Source organism: Homo sapiens, chromosome 11, assembly GCF_000001405.40.
Source record: "Homo sapiens chromosome 11, GRCh38.p14 Primary Assembly".
Taxonomy (NCBI): domain Eukaryota; kingdom Metazoa; phylum Chordata; class Mammalia; order Primates; family Hominidae; genus Homo; species Homo sapiens.
In genome coordinates this window covers 80,545,016-80,564,458 of record NC_000011.10, presented here as the reverse complement: position 1 = coordinate 80,564,458, position 19,443 = coordinate 80,545,016, and the positions used below count along the sequence as shown (strand labels likewise).

Sequence of the window (19,443 nt, the reverse complement as noted above, 5' to 3'; positions counted from 1 at the left end):
ATGATGGTAAAAGTAAAAAGGTTGATGGAAAGAGTAACTGAGGTTGAAAGACTGGCAGGGACAAGATTATGTATCCATGTAAAAGAGTCCGAAATTTCTCCTTTGAACATTTGGAAGGGACTTAAACAGTGAGAAGTTATGGACAGATTTGCGTTTACACTCTAGAAAGAGCCTTGGCTCAGGTGTGACAAGGGGAATGGAGTGAATTGAGGGGGAGTCAAGGAGAGCACGTTAGAGACTATTTCAGTAGTCAAGGTGAGAAGCGGTGTGTTGGAAGACTAGCAGTCATGGTGTTGCAGGAAAGTGGGTCCACTCCAGAATATTCAGGAAGAAGAATCAAGTGGGTTTGAGTAGTGATTAAATGTGGATGGTTGAATAAAGAAAATCAAGCATCACTGACAGAATATGGCTTGGTGGTAACTTTAAATGAAGTAAGATAACGGAGGGTTTGGGGAAAAAGTGCTGGATTAAACTTTTGACAATACTGTGTAATGCCCAAGTGGAGTTTTGAAAAAGACAGAAATGAATCTAAAACTCAAGGGAAGTTGTTGATTGATTGAAATTATAAATTTAGAAGTCATTGGCATAGCTATAATTCAGTTTCTAACCAACTACAAAGAAAAAAATAAAAACTTCAAAACAAAGAACAAATAGTCCAACAAATTGACATTCAGGTCACTGTTAACTTTTCTTATCACTAAGCCTGAAGGCCATTGTCCTTTTATTCAGGTTTTCCTTTGTTCTTTAGAGGGTGAATTAGCATATTCCTTTAATGTTTCCATATAGAATTCTCATGCATTTTGAAGTGAAAGGGTTATAAATGTCAGATAATTTTCCTTGGCATTTTTATTTTCTTCAAGTAAAGAACATTTCACTATAAAGCATTTATAATGAAACTGATTTTGTTGGTCATATTCTCCAGCTACTAATTTTCCGTAAAAGCTTGCTTGGGGGGAGAAAAGGAAAAACACTTTTTATTAGGATTTGAGCTAAACTAAGTTAGCTTGTTCATGGCAAAGGAGTCATTTATTGTTGATATGGCCTCTGCTGCTGATGGTCTTTCTCCATAAATCTAGCATGTCCTGTGAAAGGTTAATGCTGCAGTTTAGCAGCCAATTGCATCCAAAGTGTAGTGAAAATTAGCATGCAGTTTTTTTTTACTTAGTTATGTATATGCATATCGAGTCTTTTTAAAATTCAGACTCCAGATAATCCAACATTAAATACATAAAAATAATTGTGTCATGCATTATGCTGGTTTTATATTCCTAAACTCATTTGAGCTTCTCAATCATGCTTTTCAATTGGTATTGTTATCTTTAATAATGTAGATGAAGAAAATGGGTGCCTGAAAGGTAGGTCTTTCTCCAGAAGTGACAAATAAGTCATAATTCCCAAGTCCATAAAGTCAAAAAAATGCAAAACATTTTGGATAAATAATACTCTAGGAAGGCTTGAACATTCGTCATTGTGCAAGCAGAGGGTCATTGAGAACTGGCTCCGAGAATCCCAAGAATTTGTCTTGCTGTCCTTTTGTTTATTGTCATTGTGTGCATTTCCCTGATGCTTTGGAAATAATTTGGAGTCTTTACAATGAAAGATGAGATCTTTATTGTGACAGGACAGCAATCTAATTTATCTCTGACACAGTTTCCCCTTTACCCAGCATAAATCAAGTGCCAGCTTAATGATGTCATTCCCTGTAACGTAGAATATCAAACAAGGAAGAAGTCATTTGGGGTCTGCACTGGGGAGAACAATGAGCAATGTCGTTTAGTTTCTTGTGAGCACCACTGCAAAGGTTTCTAAATTGATCCCTAGGGTTTCCAAAAGGTAGAGATTGAGTGTTGCCCAGAACTAGTGTAACTAGCCTCACAGGATCATTCTAAAGATAAAATGAGATAATTTGAGTAATGAGATCTAGCATAGTGACATGAACTTAATATATTCTTATTTTTTTCTTTCTATTTTTTTCTGTTTCCAGGTTGGTTACTTCAGGCTAGAAAAATACTTTTGAACTTTGAAAGAAAATTGTGTGTGTGTGTGTGTGTGTGCGTGCACGCGCGCAGCTTTGGCTCTCTAAACTAAAAGGAAAAGTATAAAATGTTCTCGTTTCAGTTTTCTATACCCTAACATCTAATTTCATCTAGGCCTGGAAAAAACAAAACAAACTTTCAAATCTGCTGACATTAAAAGATTAAAGTATCTGTGCTAAAAATACATAAACAAAAACAGCAACAACCACAGTATTCTAATGAAATGCAATAAGTGTAAAATAAACTCACATAAAGTAAAAAAAGACAAAACAATAGAAAGGAATAAGCTAACAGACGTTTTAAGCAATGTTACCTGATGAGAGCTTTGAAGGAATTTTGGAATTTTCAGAAGTATGAAAAAATGTAAGTTTAGGAAAGAGAGAAAATTATGGGCAGATATAGAAGGCATAAGCCATGTAGCAAGTTTGGAAAACTTCACAGAATTTGACACTGGTGAAATAAAAAGGCCAAAATTCTACATCGAGGCTGGGTTCTGACTGTGGTCTTCCTTCTATGCAAAAGATCTGGACTCTTTTCTCAAAACAAGGAGAGCCTTTGGAGAGCTGTAATCATAGGAATGCCAGGATCTGGCCTAGCCTTAAAGAGTAATTTTGGGGTCAGGGTAGAGTTGCTCAAATTCAAAGCCAAGTTTCGTTCTTGACTCCTTTCCACCTCTTGCAACCTCCCACAGCAAATGAACAAAACAATCCGTTCATTTTACTCATTAAATATATTTTGAACCTGCCTCTTCTTCTCTATCCCTTCTGACATAATCCTGATCTGAGCCACCATCACATGTCGCTTGGATGTTTTAACTTGGCTCCAACAATATTAATTCTGCCTAGGTGCTATTCCTGCTGATTGGCACACCGCTTCCCAACATCACCTAAAGACATCAACCTTGCCTTCCCTTCAGCTTCAGACTGCATTTTCCCTACCCCTCATCATGCCTGCAGTTACCTATCCAATGCTTATCTTCCTGGCTCAACTGAAAATATGCAGGGGCCATGTCTTATTTGCTGGCAAAACCCATGTTTCTAGCATAGCACCTGTCGTGTTGTAGATATTTAATGAGCTTTTATCAAACAAACTTGCTGAATAAACGAATAAAGTGACTTGCTGTTACTGTGCTGTTATTACTACAAAGTCACAGAAAACATCATCTCTTGTCCTCAGAGAACTCACAATCTAGCAGGTGAGAAAATAATTAGCAAAACATAAATCAATGTTTTATCCTCCTTCGTAAGGACAAGCAGGGGCCATGATAACACAGAGGAAAGAGCAAATAAAGAAAAGTCTTTGTGGCAGAGGTGAAATTTGAATTAGTTCTGAGAGGAAGCATTGAGGACATTGTAGTCAGGCTGTCAGAACCTCAGGAAAAGGAAGGAGCAGTCAAGGTTGTGTGAAATATAAAGTAAATCATGAATCACCCAATAATTACATATTTGAGTATTCGATAGTGACATCAAAAAGCACTGAGAACAGTAATAGGTTTTATTTCCCTGAAGTAGAAGTGTGAGTTCTCCGTACTGTGAAGGTGGTGTGCAGAGTGGTTACTTTGGTAGTTAGTGAGCCCAATTGTCTGCCAAACATCCTTATTGATTAATGGTATTGTGGTTTTAAAATGTATTGCCATACACATTCATAGTTCAATTTACTATATCTGATATGTTGCATATGGTATGTAGGTACCTTTGAGATTCATGAACATCTTACAGCATAACTGTTAATTTGAGGAAGCCTAATCTAAATGTTAAAATATATATCATGTATACATAGTAAATGTATACATGGTCATATATGTATAGTCACATGCATAGAGTATATAGTAATAAGAATCCTATTATTTATCTTATAGCACACTAAATATTTTTCACATATTATCTAATATTATTCTCACAATATTCCCCAAGAGATTGATGTCAATATACCCATCATACAGATTATGAAACGAAAGGTTTGATAAGTAACATGTCCTTTATTTGAGGATTAGAACGAGGTATTCAATTCATGTTTCCAGCTCCATAGCACATTCCCTAAATTAATATGATCCACTGCCAAAATAGGTACAATTGATATTTGATGCCACACTAGAAATGAGGAAAAATATTAAGGTTTTTCAATGCAATAAATGAGAGAGGCAATATTCTTATGGCATACTTACGGCAGATAACAATAATCGTCCTTAAAATTTGAAGGCAACCTCCTGTGTGTGTGTTGAGTTTGTTGGTTTTACTTTCAGCAGGAAGCACAGCCTGCATGACTAAGCTTTCCCACTGCTGTGATATTAATTTCAGGTATCAGAGGTGTACTGGTGTGCACTGATGGCTGGGTGTAATGCTCCTGGAGGCACACCTATTCCTCATATTATGATCAGTCTTTTCTGTTGCCCTTCCATGTGTAAAATAGATTAAGCTTCCTTGGTATTGTCTTATAAAATATATTACAGAGAACTTAAAGTGAAATTGCTTTGTATTGCAGAATAAAGGAAAAAAGCCAGATGAGAGTAAGTGCAAATATGCATATTCTTTTCATGTTCGAGGGTTTATTCTTTTATTTAAAAAACACTAAAACATCTGTCCCACTCTAGGCCCTTTATATAAGTTGATTCATCCTTGCAGATCAGAAGGTCAGTGATAACAGCAAAAGTACAGGGATGTTTAAGACTTTCCCAGTAACTTTACAGCTCTCTTCTCTGTATCTCTTATTCTTTGCTTTTGTACATATCCATTTCCATTGGTCCACTGCTCCCATTTAGCTCATGAGACATCCTACCGGATGTGTGATCTGATTGGTCCCTAGGTTAATCGTACTGAAAGTTTTAGAGAAAGGCTTCATCACAGAACGCTTCTAGACTTAGTATGACTGCCTATCCTGATATTCTTCCCATCAGTGTGGGCAGATTGAACATATTTATAATGCTTGGTGCTACGGATTGTGGGAATAAAAGAAGACACCTATGTGAGAAGAGGCAGAGCTTGTTTTGTCACTTATTTTATCAGAGCTTCCTAAGGCAAGGGAATCAGCCATCATCACTGTGTTAGCCAGAAACTCAAAGGTAGGCAGGGGAGTGGAAAACATCATAGTGAACAGAAGAGAAGGGTTCAGGTATGCTTTGATTGGAGGTGGTTGGCATGAAGAAGCTGCAGTTGCACTAACTAGAAGCAGGGCATCCCCTGTAACTGGTTTGGGGAACATACTGGCTTTTTCTGGTTGGTCCTGAGGTAGAAGCAAAAATAAGGGAAGCTATAGTCATTGAACAAATCCTATCTGTTCTGGGTCAATTGCTGAAGAGCTTTTGGTTTTGTTTCCTGGGGCTGATTGTTGCTGAGATTAGAGATCAGAGTACAGGGGTGATAATGGTTGGAAAGGGGAACTTTTATGGGGAAAAATCAAGGGAGGATTCAGCAATCCCCGTTTTTGAAGGATTAGTAGAAGTTTGCCAAATATTCAAACAAGGAAAGTGTGTCACAGAGAGAATAGCAGGCACGGAAGTGTAAAACAACAAGGCGTGTGAAAGGGGCCTTACTATATTGTGGAGTTTTGAGAATATGACTAGAGCCAAGTCCCACAGAGCCTTATACACAAGGCAAAGGAGTTCAATTAACCCTAAAACGAATAAGGATCTAAAAGGAATTCACAGCCCGAGAGTAGTGCTGTCAAGCTTGCTAAGTGACAAAATATGCTGGACAGGCTGGACAGGGGGTAGCTGTTTTTGAAAAAGGCCTTGGGATATCTAGGACTCAATGACTAGAGAAACAGTCAAGCCAAGGTCAGTAACAAGATGCTGGGATGAACAAGTCAGGTAAAGAGAGGATTATAGGAGTATTGGAAACAAGATTTAAATTCAGGATATAGACAAATCACCTGAGGTAGCACCACACAGAAACAAGAATGGGAAAGGCAGGTTAGGCTGGTTCAGCTCCAGAAGTCAGCATCTTGCGGTCATGAGGCTATTTTAAAAGGACTCAATATGAACCATTCTGCTCATACTGATAAACATCTTTAAAGTGCTGCTCAGCACCTGACATGAAAGGCTGAACTGGATGCACATTTTGAGTATGTAAAACTCTTTGCAAAGATAATTGTAATTGTCCCATTTCTATTATTAGTGTTTATAATTACAACACAAGACATCAGTGTCCAGGGATAAATACATGATAAACAATATTAAAATGTTTAATCCAGTAGTTTTAGTTGAGAATTTCTTTTAGCTAATGACCCCAGGTGTCATGCTTTAGAACAGGGGTTTGCAAACTATGGCCCCAAGCAAAATCAGGCATGCACCATTTTTGAGAAGGTCTGTTGGAACACAGCCATATCTACTTATTTATGTATTGTTTGTAGCTACTTTCACACTACAACAGCAGGGCTGAATCATTTCAACAGAAATTGTCTGTAAAGCCTAAAATATTTGCTATCTGGGTTTTTTTTTTTTTTCCCCTCGAGATGGAGTCTTGCTTTGTCACCCATGCTGGAGTTCAGTGGTGTGATCTTGGCTCACTGCAACCTCCACCTCCGAGGTTCAAGTAGTTATCCTGCCTCAGCCTCCAGAGTAGCTGGGATTATAGGCACCTGCCACCACGCCCAGCTAATTTTTGTGTTTTTAGTAGAGAAGGGGTTTCGCCATGTTGGCCAGGCTGGTCTCAGACTCCTGATCTCGTGATCCACCTGGCTTGGCCTCCCAAAGTGCTGGGATTACAGGCGTGAGTCACTGCACCTGGCCTGCTATCTGGTTTTTTACATAAAAAGTTTCCCAGCCTTTGACTTAGAATCCAGAGCAAATGGAACAAAATGTATTCTAATTACTTGACATGAAAATAAACATAACACATGAATTCTATCTTATGTGCATAATCTTCATAGGTAATATCAGTCCCATGGTGTAGATGAGGAAGGTGAGGCTCAGAGAGGTTAAGTAATATTTTGAGCAGCATATAACAAATAAATATCCAAAGTATGATTTTGACTTATATCTAACTTGCTTCAAAGTCTTTCTACTTTGTCAGATTTTCCTAGTTGTAACTTGCTATTTAATTTAGTAAACATTGAATATTTACTTCCCCAGTACCTGGTAGGTCACTGAGGTAGGTTCTATAGAGGTAACTTGCCCTCAAGAAACTAAAATCTAGTGAAAGAACTAGAGAACCAGACAAACATGGCAAAGCATGAACAAAGGCAGGCCATATAGGGTAATCAAGGGTAGAAGTTAAGAGCCTGCCTGTCTTGAAGCCCTGGATCTACTACAGGTAAGCTGAGCAACAAATCTAGTTATGGAATCTTTCTGTCATGCAATTTTTCATTAGGAAAAGAGGATAGTTACTTGTCTTATGAAGATCGTGAGGAATAATGCATTATTTTATTCAATGCATACTACTGAGCATCTACTAGATACTGATATTGTCTGAGGCATTTGAAATACCTCCTTGGACAAACAAGCACTGCTTTGTAGAATTTATGATTGCCAGGGGAAGAGAAACAATAAACTGTAAGCATTGTTAATAAGTTAATTATATAAAATATTAGAAGAAAATGAGCACTATTGAAAAAAGATGAAAACTAAGTATAAGAGAGTATGGAGATCAGCAACATGGGGGAGTGGGGAAGGGGAACTGCAAATTAAATAAAGCCATCTGGGAGAGACTTCTTGAGAAGGAGAGTTAGGAGTGAAGACGCAGAGGAGGTGAGAGAGTTGGCCATGTGCATAGCTGGCTGAGAGTACTCCCAGCATGAGGTGGTTGAGGGGAGCAGCAAAAGTCTGGGCCATGCCTGAGGTAATACCTGTACTATCCAAGGAGAGGTAAGTGGGCCAGAGTGGTTAAGATGGAATAACCAAGAAAAAATAATTCAAAGAAGAAGGATCAGAGGGGGTCTGGTTCATGTATGGCTTTAGGGGTCTTGTGAGGACTTTAAATTTCAATCTATCTAAATATCCTTGCAAGGTTTTAAGCAGAAAAAGATATAACCCATTGAATATTTAGAATAGTGCTTTACTTAGCTTTTAGTCTTGAGCTAACCCAGTTTGGCTCATTTGTCTCCTTCCTAGAAGACTGAGATAGCTGAGATGATGGAAGAGGCAGTGCTTTGGTATCACGCCAGTTTGTGCTCTCCTTGGGGCAAGTGGGGTCCAATGGGCATGTGGGCTTCATTGATTCCTGATTTGTATGTAACTGGGTGAGGCATATACAGCTAGGAAATACATTATCTAAAACTTAAACCAGGAAGTCTGTCCAGATACCTTCTTCATTACTTTAGTAGAGTGCTTACCAAGCCTGCTAAACCTAGGGGTTGCAACTCCTTAAACAGTGGTAAGCAATTCAACAAGACCAGGATTTTCAAGCCTGTCTGCTTCAACTGAGATGATTTAGTATCTCATATTCTGGATTTCCATTACCAGTATATAATTCTTTATTCTTTATCAATTGTTTATAATAATAATTATTACTATCTATTATTTATATTTTACACTATAGAAGGTTTTACCCTACTAATAACTAATTTTTCTGAATGGTAGTATACATTAAAGTTGGCTTACATATCATTAATAATCTGTTCATATAAGAAAAAGAAGGAGTGCTGGTTTATTGACAAGGTTATCTTCAAATAAAGACCTATCACTTATCATGGTGTTAGGAATTTTATGGCTCATTTAGACAAACCTTCACTGAAGGTACTTAAACATTTGATTTTATTAAGGAGCTTTCTGGCCTGAAGCAGCGCCATTCTACTGTTTGTCAACTATGAGGGTTAGCTAAATCTTTAGAGAGAAATTTAGTATGTGGTCTTCAAAAGTCTCCAACTATTTTTATTTGAGAAGAAATAGAATAAGAAATAAAATTAAATTCATTTAATAATCATGCATAGAATGCTTATGATGTGTAAAACACTGTTCTATGCATTATAGGAGACAGGGACAAAGGAACAAAGTGTGTTTTCTCTAAGAGCTCATGATAGTAAGAAATAATATTGCCCTCAGTCCTTTACAAGTGTGCTCTTTAATCCTTACCCTGATCCCATGTGGTCAGTTCTAGAATTATTCTTATTTGACTGACATAGAAATTGAAACTCTGAAAGGTTAAGTGACCTATGCAAGGTCACTCAAAGTTAGTGCCTGGAATTCAAATGAGAGGAGTCTGACCACAGAGTCCAAGACCTTAACCACGGTGTTGCTTGGGAGAGAGAGAATCGATTGTGATGTCCTTGAAATAGGGAAAACTATGCCGTTACAATAAAGGCAGAAATAATGTACAATCACATAAGGGATGAAGATATTAATTCTAACCAAGGCAGAGGGAAGGGGGATCTTAATTATGTAGGTGGTATCTTGAATTATGAAAAGACATGAAAGCCAAGAGATTCTTGAGGTATTTCTAATGGAGATTACATTTTAGCAATACTTTTAATAAAGTTTTCATATGTTCAGATATTCCATGGAACGGTGAAAATTCACAGTTCTGTTCCTGGCAGTAGAAATTCATATTCTAATTCTAGGATTTCTATGGAACCATTAAAGAAAGCCTTGATATTTTTCTTATGTCATTTTTTAATAGTTACCATTAGTAACTGTCCAACTGCTTGAAGGCAGAAACTTGAATGTCATTCTTGACTCTGACTTTTCCCTGTCTTCTCCTTCAAATCTTTCACAAATGCCTATCAAATATATCTTCTGAAAGTCTCTGGGATCCTTCAAAGTTTTCCTTGCCCTCTGCCACTCTTCAGAGGTACCACTCCCTCAGCTAAATAAATACAGCAGACTTGTGGTTGACATTCCTGACTCTTCTCTGCTGTCCATTCAATATGATTATGTAAATTTCCTAATCAATTGCTTAAGATTTCTCATTGGCCTTTCATGATGTCCAAGTGCCTCAACATGATTTAGGCGGTACTGAAAGACTGGTGCCTGATGCCTTCTTTCTAGCATGGTGTGTCATCATTCCTCTTTACCCCCTCAACACTTCCCCAAACCTAGTCTGCACTCCATGATCAGTCCATATACAATTTTAATAGCCTCCCATTACCTGTGACTCTTATCACAGGTTCTTTCTTCTGCCTGAAACAAGCTTTCTTCTGAAAAATGCCCTAGCCATTAACTAACCAGGCTAACTCTTACACATCCATTAGGTCTCTGCTGAAGTGTCATATTCATTGGGAGTTGTGTTCTCTTTTAAATTCCTCATGACCCTAGGCTTTGAGAAGACAAACTGTATCCTTCTTCAGTTCGTAATCAAGCGTCAGAATTATCTGATGATTTATATGATGGCAAGCTCTGTGAGTCAAGTCTTTTCTTCCCTAGAGTATGATTTTACCCACCATGTATGGAGAAAACCTACCAGGCTACCATTTAGTATACATACTTGAAAACACCGATAGTTGATGTACACTAAGTTCTGCGAAACCTGCAAGCTTTGTGGTGCCTCCACTCCTGACAAAACAGGGGGTACGATAACCTGTAAGCATCACAGGAAAATACATAAATGGTCCCAAGAATGTATTTATAGCTTTCTGAAATAATTCACCTGGAAGCCCTTTTCTTTACCTCATTCTTGCTTAACCCAGCGTGTTGCTAACAAAGATAAATAATGCCATGACAGTTAGTAGTATAGGCAGGCTGACACATCTGAGAGAGAAAAAATGGCCATTGGTTGGTTCTGATAGTTTGTCAGAGGTTTTTCTTTCACTCATCAGACTAAGTATGGCAGCAATGCTGGGTGTGTGATTTATACAATTCTGTACTGTACCTTGAACAGATCTTTCTTTTGAAGGAAAATGATTAACAATTATGACAGATCGCTTCCACTCAAGCATCAGAATCATCTTATGATTTATACAAGAGGCCAAAGAGGAGTGTATGGTCTTTGCTTGCCAGACAAATAAAAAATAGGAAAAATTTTATGGGAAACATTATGTACTCTACAATGGTGGTAATGAACTCTGTTCAAGCTTTTGAGAGACGTGAAGGAATTCTTATTGATCTGTGACATGTGAAGGATAGGCTCACAGATGCTTGCTTCTGTTGGGCTCTATTGCAGGCAGAATGAAGGCATAGAATGAACATAGCCTTTGGGGTTAGAAAGACCTGGGCTAAAATATTGCCTCTGCTACTTTCTGATCGTGCCACATTTGGCAAGCTATTTTATCTCTATACGCCTCAATTTTCTCAATTACAAAAATCAATATTAGTAACTAGCATTCAAGGTTATCGTATAAAATAACAATGGAATTATAGAATATTTACAGTTGCACAGATGCTCATGAGCTAATGGTGTTACAAGAACACAGGAATTTCTGATTAAATTACTTTCACATTAGTCTGCATTATGTATTGAGAACCTTCCATGTGCCAGGCCTTTGTTGATAATGGGAAATCAAAGACAAGTAGAAAATGATCCTTGCATATGAGGAGCTTACAGTTGAATTTGGGGAAGAGAAAAAGCAACATAGTGCTGAAGGGCATGTATCTCTTCTGATAAACATGTTTCTTTCATAAAGACATCACAAAGAATCCTTGTAACAGAGGATTCTTATTCAGTGTACTTGTTAGAATTTTTCAGAGGAACAGAACTAGTAAAATAAAGAAATATATTTTTTATTATTAGAAAAATGGCTCTGCCCAGGCACGGTGGCTCACGCCTGTAATCCCAACACTTTGGGAGGCCGAGGCAGGCAGATCACGAGGTCTAGAGATGGAGAGCATCCTGGCCAACATGGTGAAACCTCGTCTCTACTAAAAATACAAAAATCAGCTGGGCATGGTGATGCACACCTGTAGTCCCAGCTACTGAGGAGGCTGAGGCAGGAGAATCGCTTGAACCTGGGAGGCAGTGGTCGCAGTGAGCCAAGATCCCACCACTGCACTCTGGCCTGGTGACAGAGTGAAACTCCGTCTCAAAAATAAAATTAGAAAAAAAAACTCACAAAATTTTAGAAGCTTGCAAGTTCTAAGATATGCAGCTGACAAGCTAGAAACCCAGAATAGCAAGTTGTAGTACAAGTTCTAGTCTGAAGGCCAGCAGGTCCAGACCCAGGAAGAACCAGTGTTTCAGTTTTAGGCCAACAGCAGAGAAAACCCATATCCCAGCTCAGGTAGTCAGGCAAGAGGAGTTATCTCTTACTCAGCTTTTTTGGGTCCCATTCAGGCTTTCAATGGATGGGATTATGTCCATTCACACTGGGGAGTACAACCTGCTTCACTCAGTCTACCTGCTGAAATGTTAATCTCATCTAGAGAAATCCCCACAAACACACCCAGAATCACATTTGGTCATATATTAGGCCACATTGTGGCCCAGTCAAGTTGGTACATTAAATAAACCATCACATTCAGGTTCTCGTCCACAAACAATTATTTGGGGGCCTTTTGTTTTGCCTTCCATGCTCCAGATAAACATGCCTGCTCTGTAGGGTAGCTGCCATAATGTCCTAACCAATACCCTGTCTCAATTATGATGAAAAGGTGGCCATTTAAAAATCTTGTATGGAGTTTAAAAATTATGATTTCTTTGAGGAACAACTTAGACACAGTTAAGATACTATTTGTATATTTGCTCATCCAATCTCGTGACTGGATGTCTTAATTTTATCTTTTGTAACTCAAACAGAAGATGCTGTTATTATCCTGGGGAATTGGTGCAACAAGCAGTAGAAAAGAGGCTATGAGAGGTAAAAAAATAAAATAAAAAATTCTTTAAAAAGGAAGGCAAAGTGGAGTGGTACAGCAGTAGTGTTGATTCCTAAGGAGATATTAGGGCGCTTAGTTAGTTTGAGCTTAATTCATATAATAGGTGGTATAGTGATGCATATTAGGCAGAGTGGTATGTCCACGTGCAGCAGCAAAACTGAATGTCAGAGGGGTGGCAGCATTGTGTTTATACATGGCTTGTCAAGTTTAGAGAAAAGTCCTCTGAACTCTGAGTTAATATATGCAGGAAATGGTTCCCATTCCCTGGGGTAGAATTGGAAAATATCATGGCAATTGTTCTTAAATCTGACTACACATGAAAAGCTTTATAAAAAATGTTTGGGCCCTATCCTCAAAACAAATCACTATCCTTCAGTGGAACCATTTTATTATGAAAAAAATTAAACAGCGAAGTTAAAAGACTATTAATGTGATATCTATATATTTCTCCTCTAGATTATACATTTAAAAGTTTGCTAAACTTTTGTTGTCACATCTATCCATCTAGTCATCTCTCCATCCATCTAGTAATCCATTCTGTCTCTGATGTATTTTAATATAAACCTAAGCCACTAGAGTACTTCCCCATGAATAATCAGCTTGTATATCATTAACAAGTGTTCGGTCTTATTTATGGGATTTTTCCTTTTGATATAAAATTTACATACAATGAAACACACAAATCATAAGCGTTAATTTGCTGAGTTTTAACAAATGAATTTATCTCCGTAATTCAAACATCTAGCAAAAAAATAGAATATTACCAGGACTTCAGAAAGTCTCCTCTTGCCCTCCTCAAGTCGATTCCCTGCCTCTACTCCCTGGAGGCAATCATTATTCTATTTTTTTTTTTGCACCACAGATTAGTTGTTGCCTTTTTGAAAACTTCATACACATGGGATCAAATACTCTGTACTCTTTTATGCAAGACACTTTGCATTTTGCATAATGTTTTTGAAATATATCCATCTTGTTGCTTATAATAGTATTTTTCCTTTTTATTGCTGAGTAGGATTTTATTACATAAAAGGAGAATTTATCAATTCCCTTTTTAATGGGCATCTTGACTGTTTCTAGTGTTTGACTATTATAACTAGACCTACTAGAGTCATTCTTTTGTGGTCATGTTTTCATTTTCTTAGGGGTGGATTGCTAATCATGGGAGAGGTTTATGTTCGGTCTGTTCTTCTTGTCTTTGTGTCCCTAAGTACGCAATGTTTAACTCCCATTTATAAACGAGAACATTCAGTACTTGATTTTTTTTTGCATTAATTCACCTAGGATAATGGCCTCCAGCTGCATCTATATTGCTTCAAAGGACATGATTTCTCATTTAAATGGATGCCTAGTATTCCATGGTATACATGTACCACATTTTCTTTATCCATTCCACCATTGATGGATATCTAGGTACATTCCGTATCTTTGCTATTGTGAATAGTACTGTGATGGACATATGTGTGCATGTGTCTTTTTGGTAGAATGATTTATTTTCCTTCAAGTATATAACCAGCGGTGGGATTGCTGGGTCAAATGGCATATTAGCTTTAAGTCCTTTGAGAAATCTCCAAACTGTTTTCCACAGTGTTTAAACTAATTTACATTCCCACCAGTAGTATATAGGCATTCCCTTTCCTCCACAACCTTGCCAACATCGTTATTTTCTGACTTTTTAATGATAGCCATTCTGACCACTGTGAGATGGTTTCTCATTGCGGTTTTGATTTGCACTTTTCTAATGATTATTGATATTGAGCAGTTTTTCATATATTTGTTGGCTGCATTTATGTCTTCTTTTGAGAAGTGTCTGTTCGTGTTGTGCTTTGCACTTTTTATTTTAAACTGAGTTGTTTGATTTTTGCTCCCTGAATTGCTGAAGTTCTTTATAGATTCTGGATATTAGACCTTTGTCAGATGCATACTTTGGGAATATTTTCTCCCATTCTGCAGGTTGTCTGTTTACTCTGTTGATAGTTTTTTTTTTTTTTTTTTTGCTGTGATGATGATCTTTAGTTTAATTAAGTCCCACTGGTCAATTTTTGTTTTTGTTGCAGTTGCTTTTGGTGACTAAGTTATAAATTCTTTGCCAAGACAGGTGTCCAGAACGGTATTTCCTAGTTTTTTGTCTAGGGTTTTTAGAGTTTTAGGTCTTACATTTAAGTCCTTAATACAGCTTAAGTTTATTTTTGTATATGATGAAAGGAAAAGGTCCAGTTTCAATTTTGTGCAAATGACTAGCCAGTTTTCCCAGCACCATTTATTGAATATGGAGTCCTTTCCCCATTGCCTGTTATTGTCAACTTTGTTGAAGATCAGTTAGTTGTAGGTGTGTGGCTTTATTTCTGGATTCTCTATTCTGTTACGTTGGTCTATGTGTCTGTTTGTGTACAAGTATCATGCCGTTTTGGCTGCTGTAGGTTTGTAGTATAGTTTTCTTCATGTAATGTGACGCTTCTGGATTTGTTTGCTTTTCTTAGAATTGGTTTGGCTATTTAGGCTCTTTTTTTTATTTCATATGAATTTTAAAATAGTTGTTTCTAATTTTGTGAAGAATAACATTGGTAGTTCCATAGGATAGCATTGAATACATAAATTGCTTTGGGAAGTATAGTCATTTTAACAATATTGATTCTTTCAATCCATGAGCATAGAATGTTCTTCCATTTGTGTCATCTCTGATTTCTTTCAGCAGTGTTTTGTGGTTTTTGCTGTAGAGATATTTTACCTCCTTCATTAGTGGTATTCCTGGGTCTTTTATTCTTTTTGTGGCTATTGTAAATATAATTGTGTTCTTGATTTGACTCTCAACTTGGACATTATTGGTGTATAAAAATGATGATAATTTTTGTAAACTGATTTTGTATCCTGGGACTTTGCTGAAGTTACTTATCAGTGCTAGGAGACTTTAGGCAGAATCTATGGAGTTTTCTAGGTATAAAGTCCTGTCAGAGAGATTTTCTCTTCCTATTTGGATGTCTTTGCCTTCCTCTCTTCCTATTTGGATGTCTTTCTTTCTTTGGCCTGTTTGCTCTGGCTAAGACTACTAGTACTATGTTGAATAGGGCTAATGAGAGTGTGCATCCTTGTACTGCTCCAGTTCTCAAGGGGAACACTTTCACCTTTTGCTCATTCAGTATGATGTTTGTTGTGTGTTCATCATAGATGGCTCTTATTATTATTATTTTCTTTTTGAGATGGAGTCTGGCTCTATTGCCCAGGCTGGAGTGCAATGGCAAAATCTTGGCTCACTGCACCTCCGCCTCCCAGGTTCAAGCGATTCTTCTGCCTCCGCCTCCTTAGTAGCTGGGATTACAAGCGTGCGCCAGCAGACCCAGCTAATTTTTGTATTTTTAGTAGAGACGGGTTTTCACCATGTGTGCCAGGCTGGCCTCCATCTCCTGACCTTGTGATCCACCCACCTCAGCCTCCCAAAGTGCTGGGATTACAAGCATGAGCCACTGCGCCCGGCCTGATGGCTCTTACTATTTTGAAGCATGTTTCTTCAATGCCTAGTTTGAGGGTTTTTAACATGAAGGGACATTACATTTCATCAGAAGCCATTTCTGCATCTATTGATAGAATCATGTGGTTTTGTTTTTAATTCTGTTTTTTGGCTTGCATATGTTGAAGCAACCTTGTATTCCAGGAATAAACCTTACTTGTTCATGGTGGGTTAACTTTTTGATGTGCTGCTGGATATGATTTCCTATTATTTTGTTAAGGATTTTTGCATCTATGTTCAGGGATATTGGTCTGAATTTTTCTTTTTTCATTGTGTCTCTTCCAAGTTTTTTCACCATAAGGTGCTGGCTTTGTAGAATCAGTTGGGAGGAGTTCCTCCCCCTTAATTTTTTTGCAATAATTTTATTAGGATAAGTACTACTTTGTATATCTGGTAGAATGTGGCTGTGAATCTATCTCATCCAGGGCTTCTTCTGGTTGCTAGGTTTTTTATTACTGATTCCATTTTGCAACTTGTTATTGGTCTATTCAGGATTTCATTTTCTTCTTGGTTCAATCTTGAGAGGTGGTATATTTCCAGGAATTTATCCATTTTTTTCTAGGTTTTCTAGTTTGTGTGCATATAGATGTTTGTAAAAATCTCTGAGGATTTTTTGTGTGTTTCTGTGTATTAATGCCACCTTTTTCATTTCTGACTGTGTTTATTTGGATCTTCTTTCTTTTCTCCTTTATTAATCTAGCTAGTGGTCTATCAATTTTGTTTATTCTTTTGAATAACCAACTGTTGGTTTTGTTGATTTTTTATATGGACTTTTTGCATCACAATTTTGTTCAGTGCAGCTCTGATTTTATTGCATTTAATTTTTTTGCTAGCTTTTGATTTGGTGTGCTTTTGTTTATCTAGTTCCTCTAGGTGTAATTTTAGGTTTTCAATTTGAGATCTTTTTGACTTCTTGATGTATTTAGTGCTACATACTTTCCTCTTTACACTGCTTTAGCTGTGCCCCAGAGATCTGCTTTACTGTGTTGTCTGTGTTTTCATTAGTTTCAGAGGAGTTTTTAAGTTTGTCTTAATTTCATTTTTTACCCAAAAGTCATTCAGGAGCAGGTGGTTTACTTTCTATGTAATTGTGTGGTTTAGAGAGATATTCTTAGAATTGATTTCTGTTTTTATTGTGCTGTGGTCTGAGAATATGGTTGGTATGATTTTGATTTTTTTAAATCTATTGTGACTTGCTTCATAGCTGAGAATGTGGTCAATTTTAGAGTATGTGCCACATGTAGATGAGAAGAATGGGTATTCTGCTGTTATTGAGTGGAGTATTCTTATTCTATAGATCACTATTAGGTACATTTAGTCCATTGCTGAGTTTAAGAAATGCATATCTTTGTTAATTATATGCCTTGATGATCTGTCTAACTCTGTCAATGTGGTGTTAAAGTCTCCCACTATTGTTTTATGGTTATCAAAGTCTCTTCACAGGTCTCTAAGAACTTGTTTTATGAATCTGGGTGCTTATATAATTAGGATAGCTAAGTATTTTTGTTGGATTGCACCATTTATCATTACATAATACCCTTCATTTTTCTTTTTGATTATTGTTGGTCTGTTTTGTCTAAGACCAGCAATCCTTGCTCTTTTTGTTTTCTGTTTGCCTGCTCTTTCTCTAACCCTTTACTCTGAGCCTATGGGTGTCATTGCATGTGAGACAGGTCTCTTTAAGACAATAAACAGTTGGGTCTTGCTTTTGTATTCCTCTTGCCACTGTATGCCTTTTAAGTGGGGTGTTTAGTCCATTTACATTCAAGGGAAATATTGATATGTGAGTGTTTTTCTGGGTCATGGCACTGTTAGGTGGTTGTTAGTAGACTTGACTGTATATGGGATGACTTCGAATAGAATGGGAGGCAGGTTTGCTCTAAGCAGTTCCCAGCTTGAATTTTCCCTTTAGCTTAGGATTTTGGGGGCTCAGGATATTTTCCTTTAACATTGTCTTTCAACTCTTTCAGCAATTGTTTTACTGTCTTTCAGCAATTGTTTTACTGTTTTCCTTAGATTGAGTTTCAGCCTTCTTCTGTAATTTGTTGAGCTTCCCTGCCATCCAGTTTCTGAATTCTATGTCTGTCTTTTTGGCCATTTCGATTTGGTTAAGAACCATTAATGGGGAGCTAGTGTGATTCTTTGGAGGTAAGGTTTTAGAGTTGCCAGAATTCTTGCTTTTTTGTTGTTTATTTCTTTGTTTGTTTAAATCTATGTGGGCTAATATTCCTTTACCTTTTGGCATTGCTGTCTTGTGAATGAGGATTTTTGTTTTTATGTTCTTTAATGCCCCTGAGGGTTTGACTGCGATATATGTTGGGTTTAGTTGATTGGCTTCATTTCTGGATGCTTTCAGAGGGCAAAGGCTCAGTTTGGCACTCCTGTGCTGCATAGTGTTACCCTGGAGGGCTGGGACCCATGGCTTTTTTCTCTGGTCCCTTGAAGTCAAGCGCTGGCTGTGCTGGAGGGGCCAAGCAAGGTGCTTCCAGTCTGCTGGCAATAGCATTCCATTGGGGGCCATTGGCAAAAGCACTTTAGTAGGGTGAGGTGGGGCTCTAGACAAATTCACCCTAGAAGGGTGGTGAGAGGGGCCCACTGGCAAAATCACTCTGGTAGGGGTCATCAGCAAAAACACTCTGAGGGGGCAGCTGAAACTGCACTATGAGCTGGGTGGCCAGGATGGTACCCTGGAAGGGGCCCACAGACAAGGGGACATGCAGATTAGACTCATTCATTTTACAAGGGAAAAATATCCTCCTCTCTCTAGGTCTAGTCATTAACAAAGTTGAAAGACACCTAGAGGAGTACCGAGAGCCTTGGAGGATGAGCACCCACAGCTGTTTTTCACTGCAGCTGCCCCTGAACCAAACCTTCTGGGCTTCATGCGGATTTGGGTTCTGTCTGACAACTCTCTGGGAAGATCCCCCTGCCAACACAAATGTCCACTGGGGTCATAGGGTTTCCTGCGGCTAGAATCCCAGAGGCCCATGGCAAGAGCAGGTCACTGCACAGTTATTTAGATACTTTTTAATATACTTATGCACCATTTACATATCTTCTTCTGTGAAGTAACTTAAAATGTTTGCTCACTTTTGATTGGGTTGCTTATCTTTTGACTATTAAGTCATAAAAGGTTCTTTTTGTCAAAATTTTATACATGTTCTGGTTACTGGTCCTTAGTCAGATGTATGTTTTGTAAACCTTTTCTTCCAGTCTGTGGCTTTTTA

At 37.8% G+C, this 19,443-nt stretch overlaps 1 annotated feature.

Annotated features, from left to right (window-relative positions):
* Positions 445-962: an enhancer, noted in NCBI's record as "NANOG hESC enhancer chr11:80274541-80275058 (GRCh37/hg19 assembly coordinates)". NCBI's record gives its function as "activates a minimal SCP1, AML or CMV promoter by ChIP-STARR-seq in primed H9 embryonic stem cells {active_cell/tissue: H9 hESC(primed)}" and the evidence as "EXISTENCE:reporter gene assay evidence [ECO:0000049][PMID:30033119]".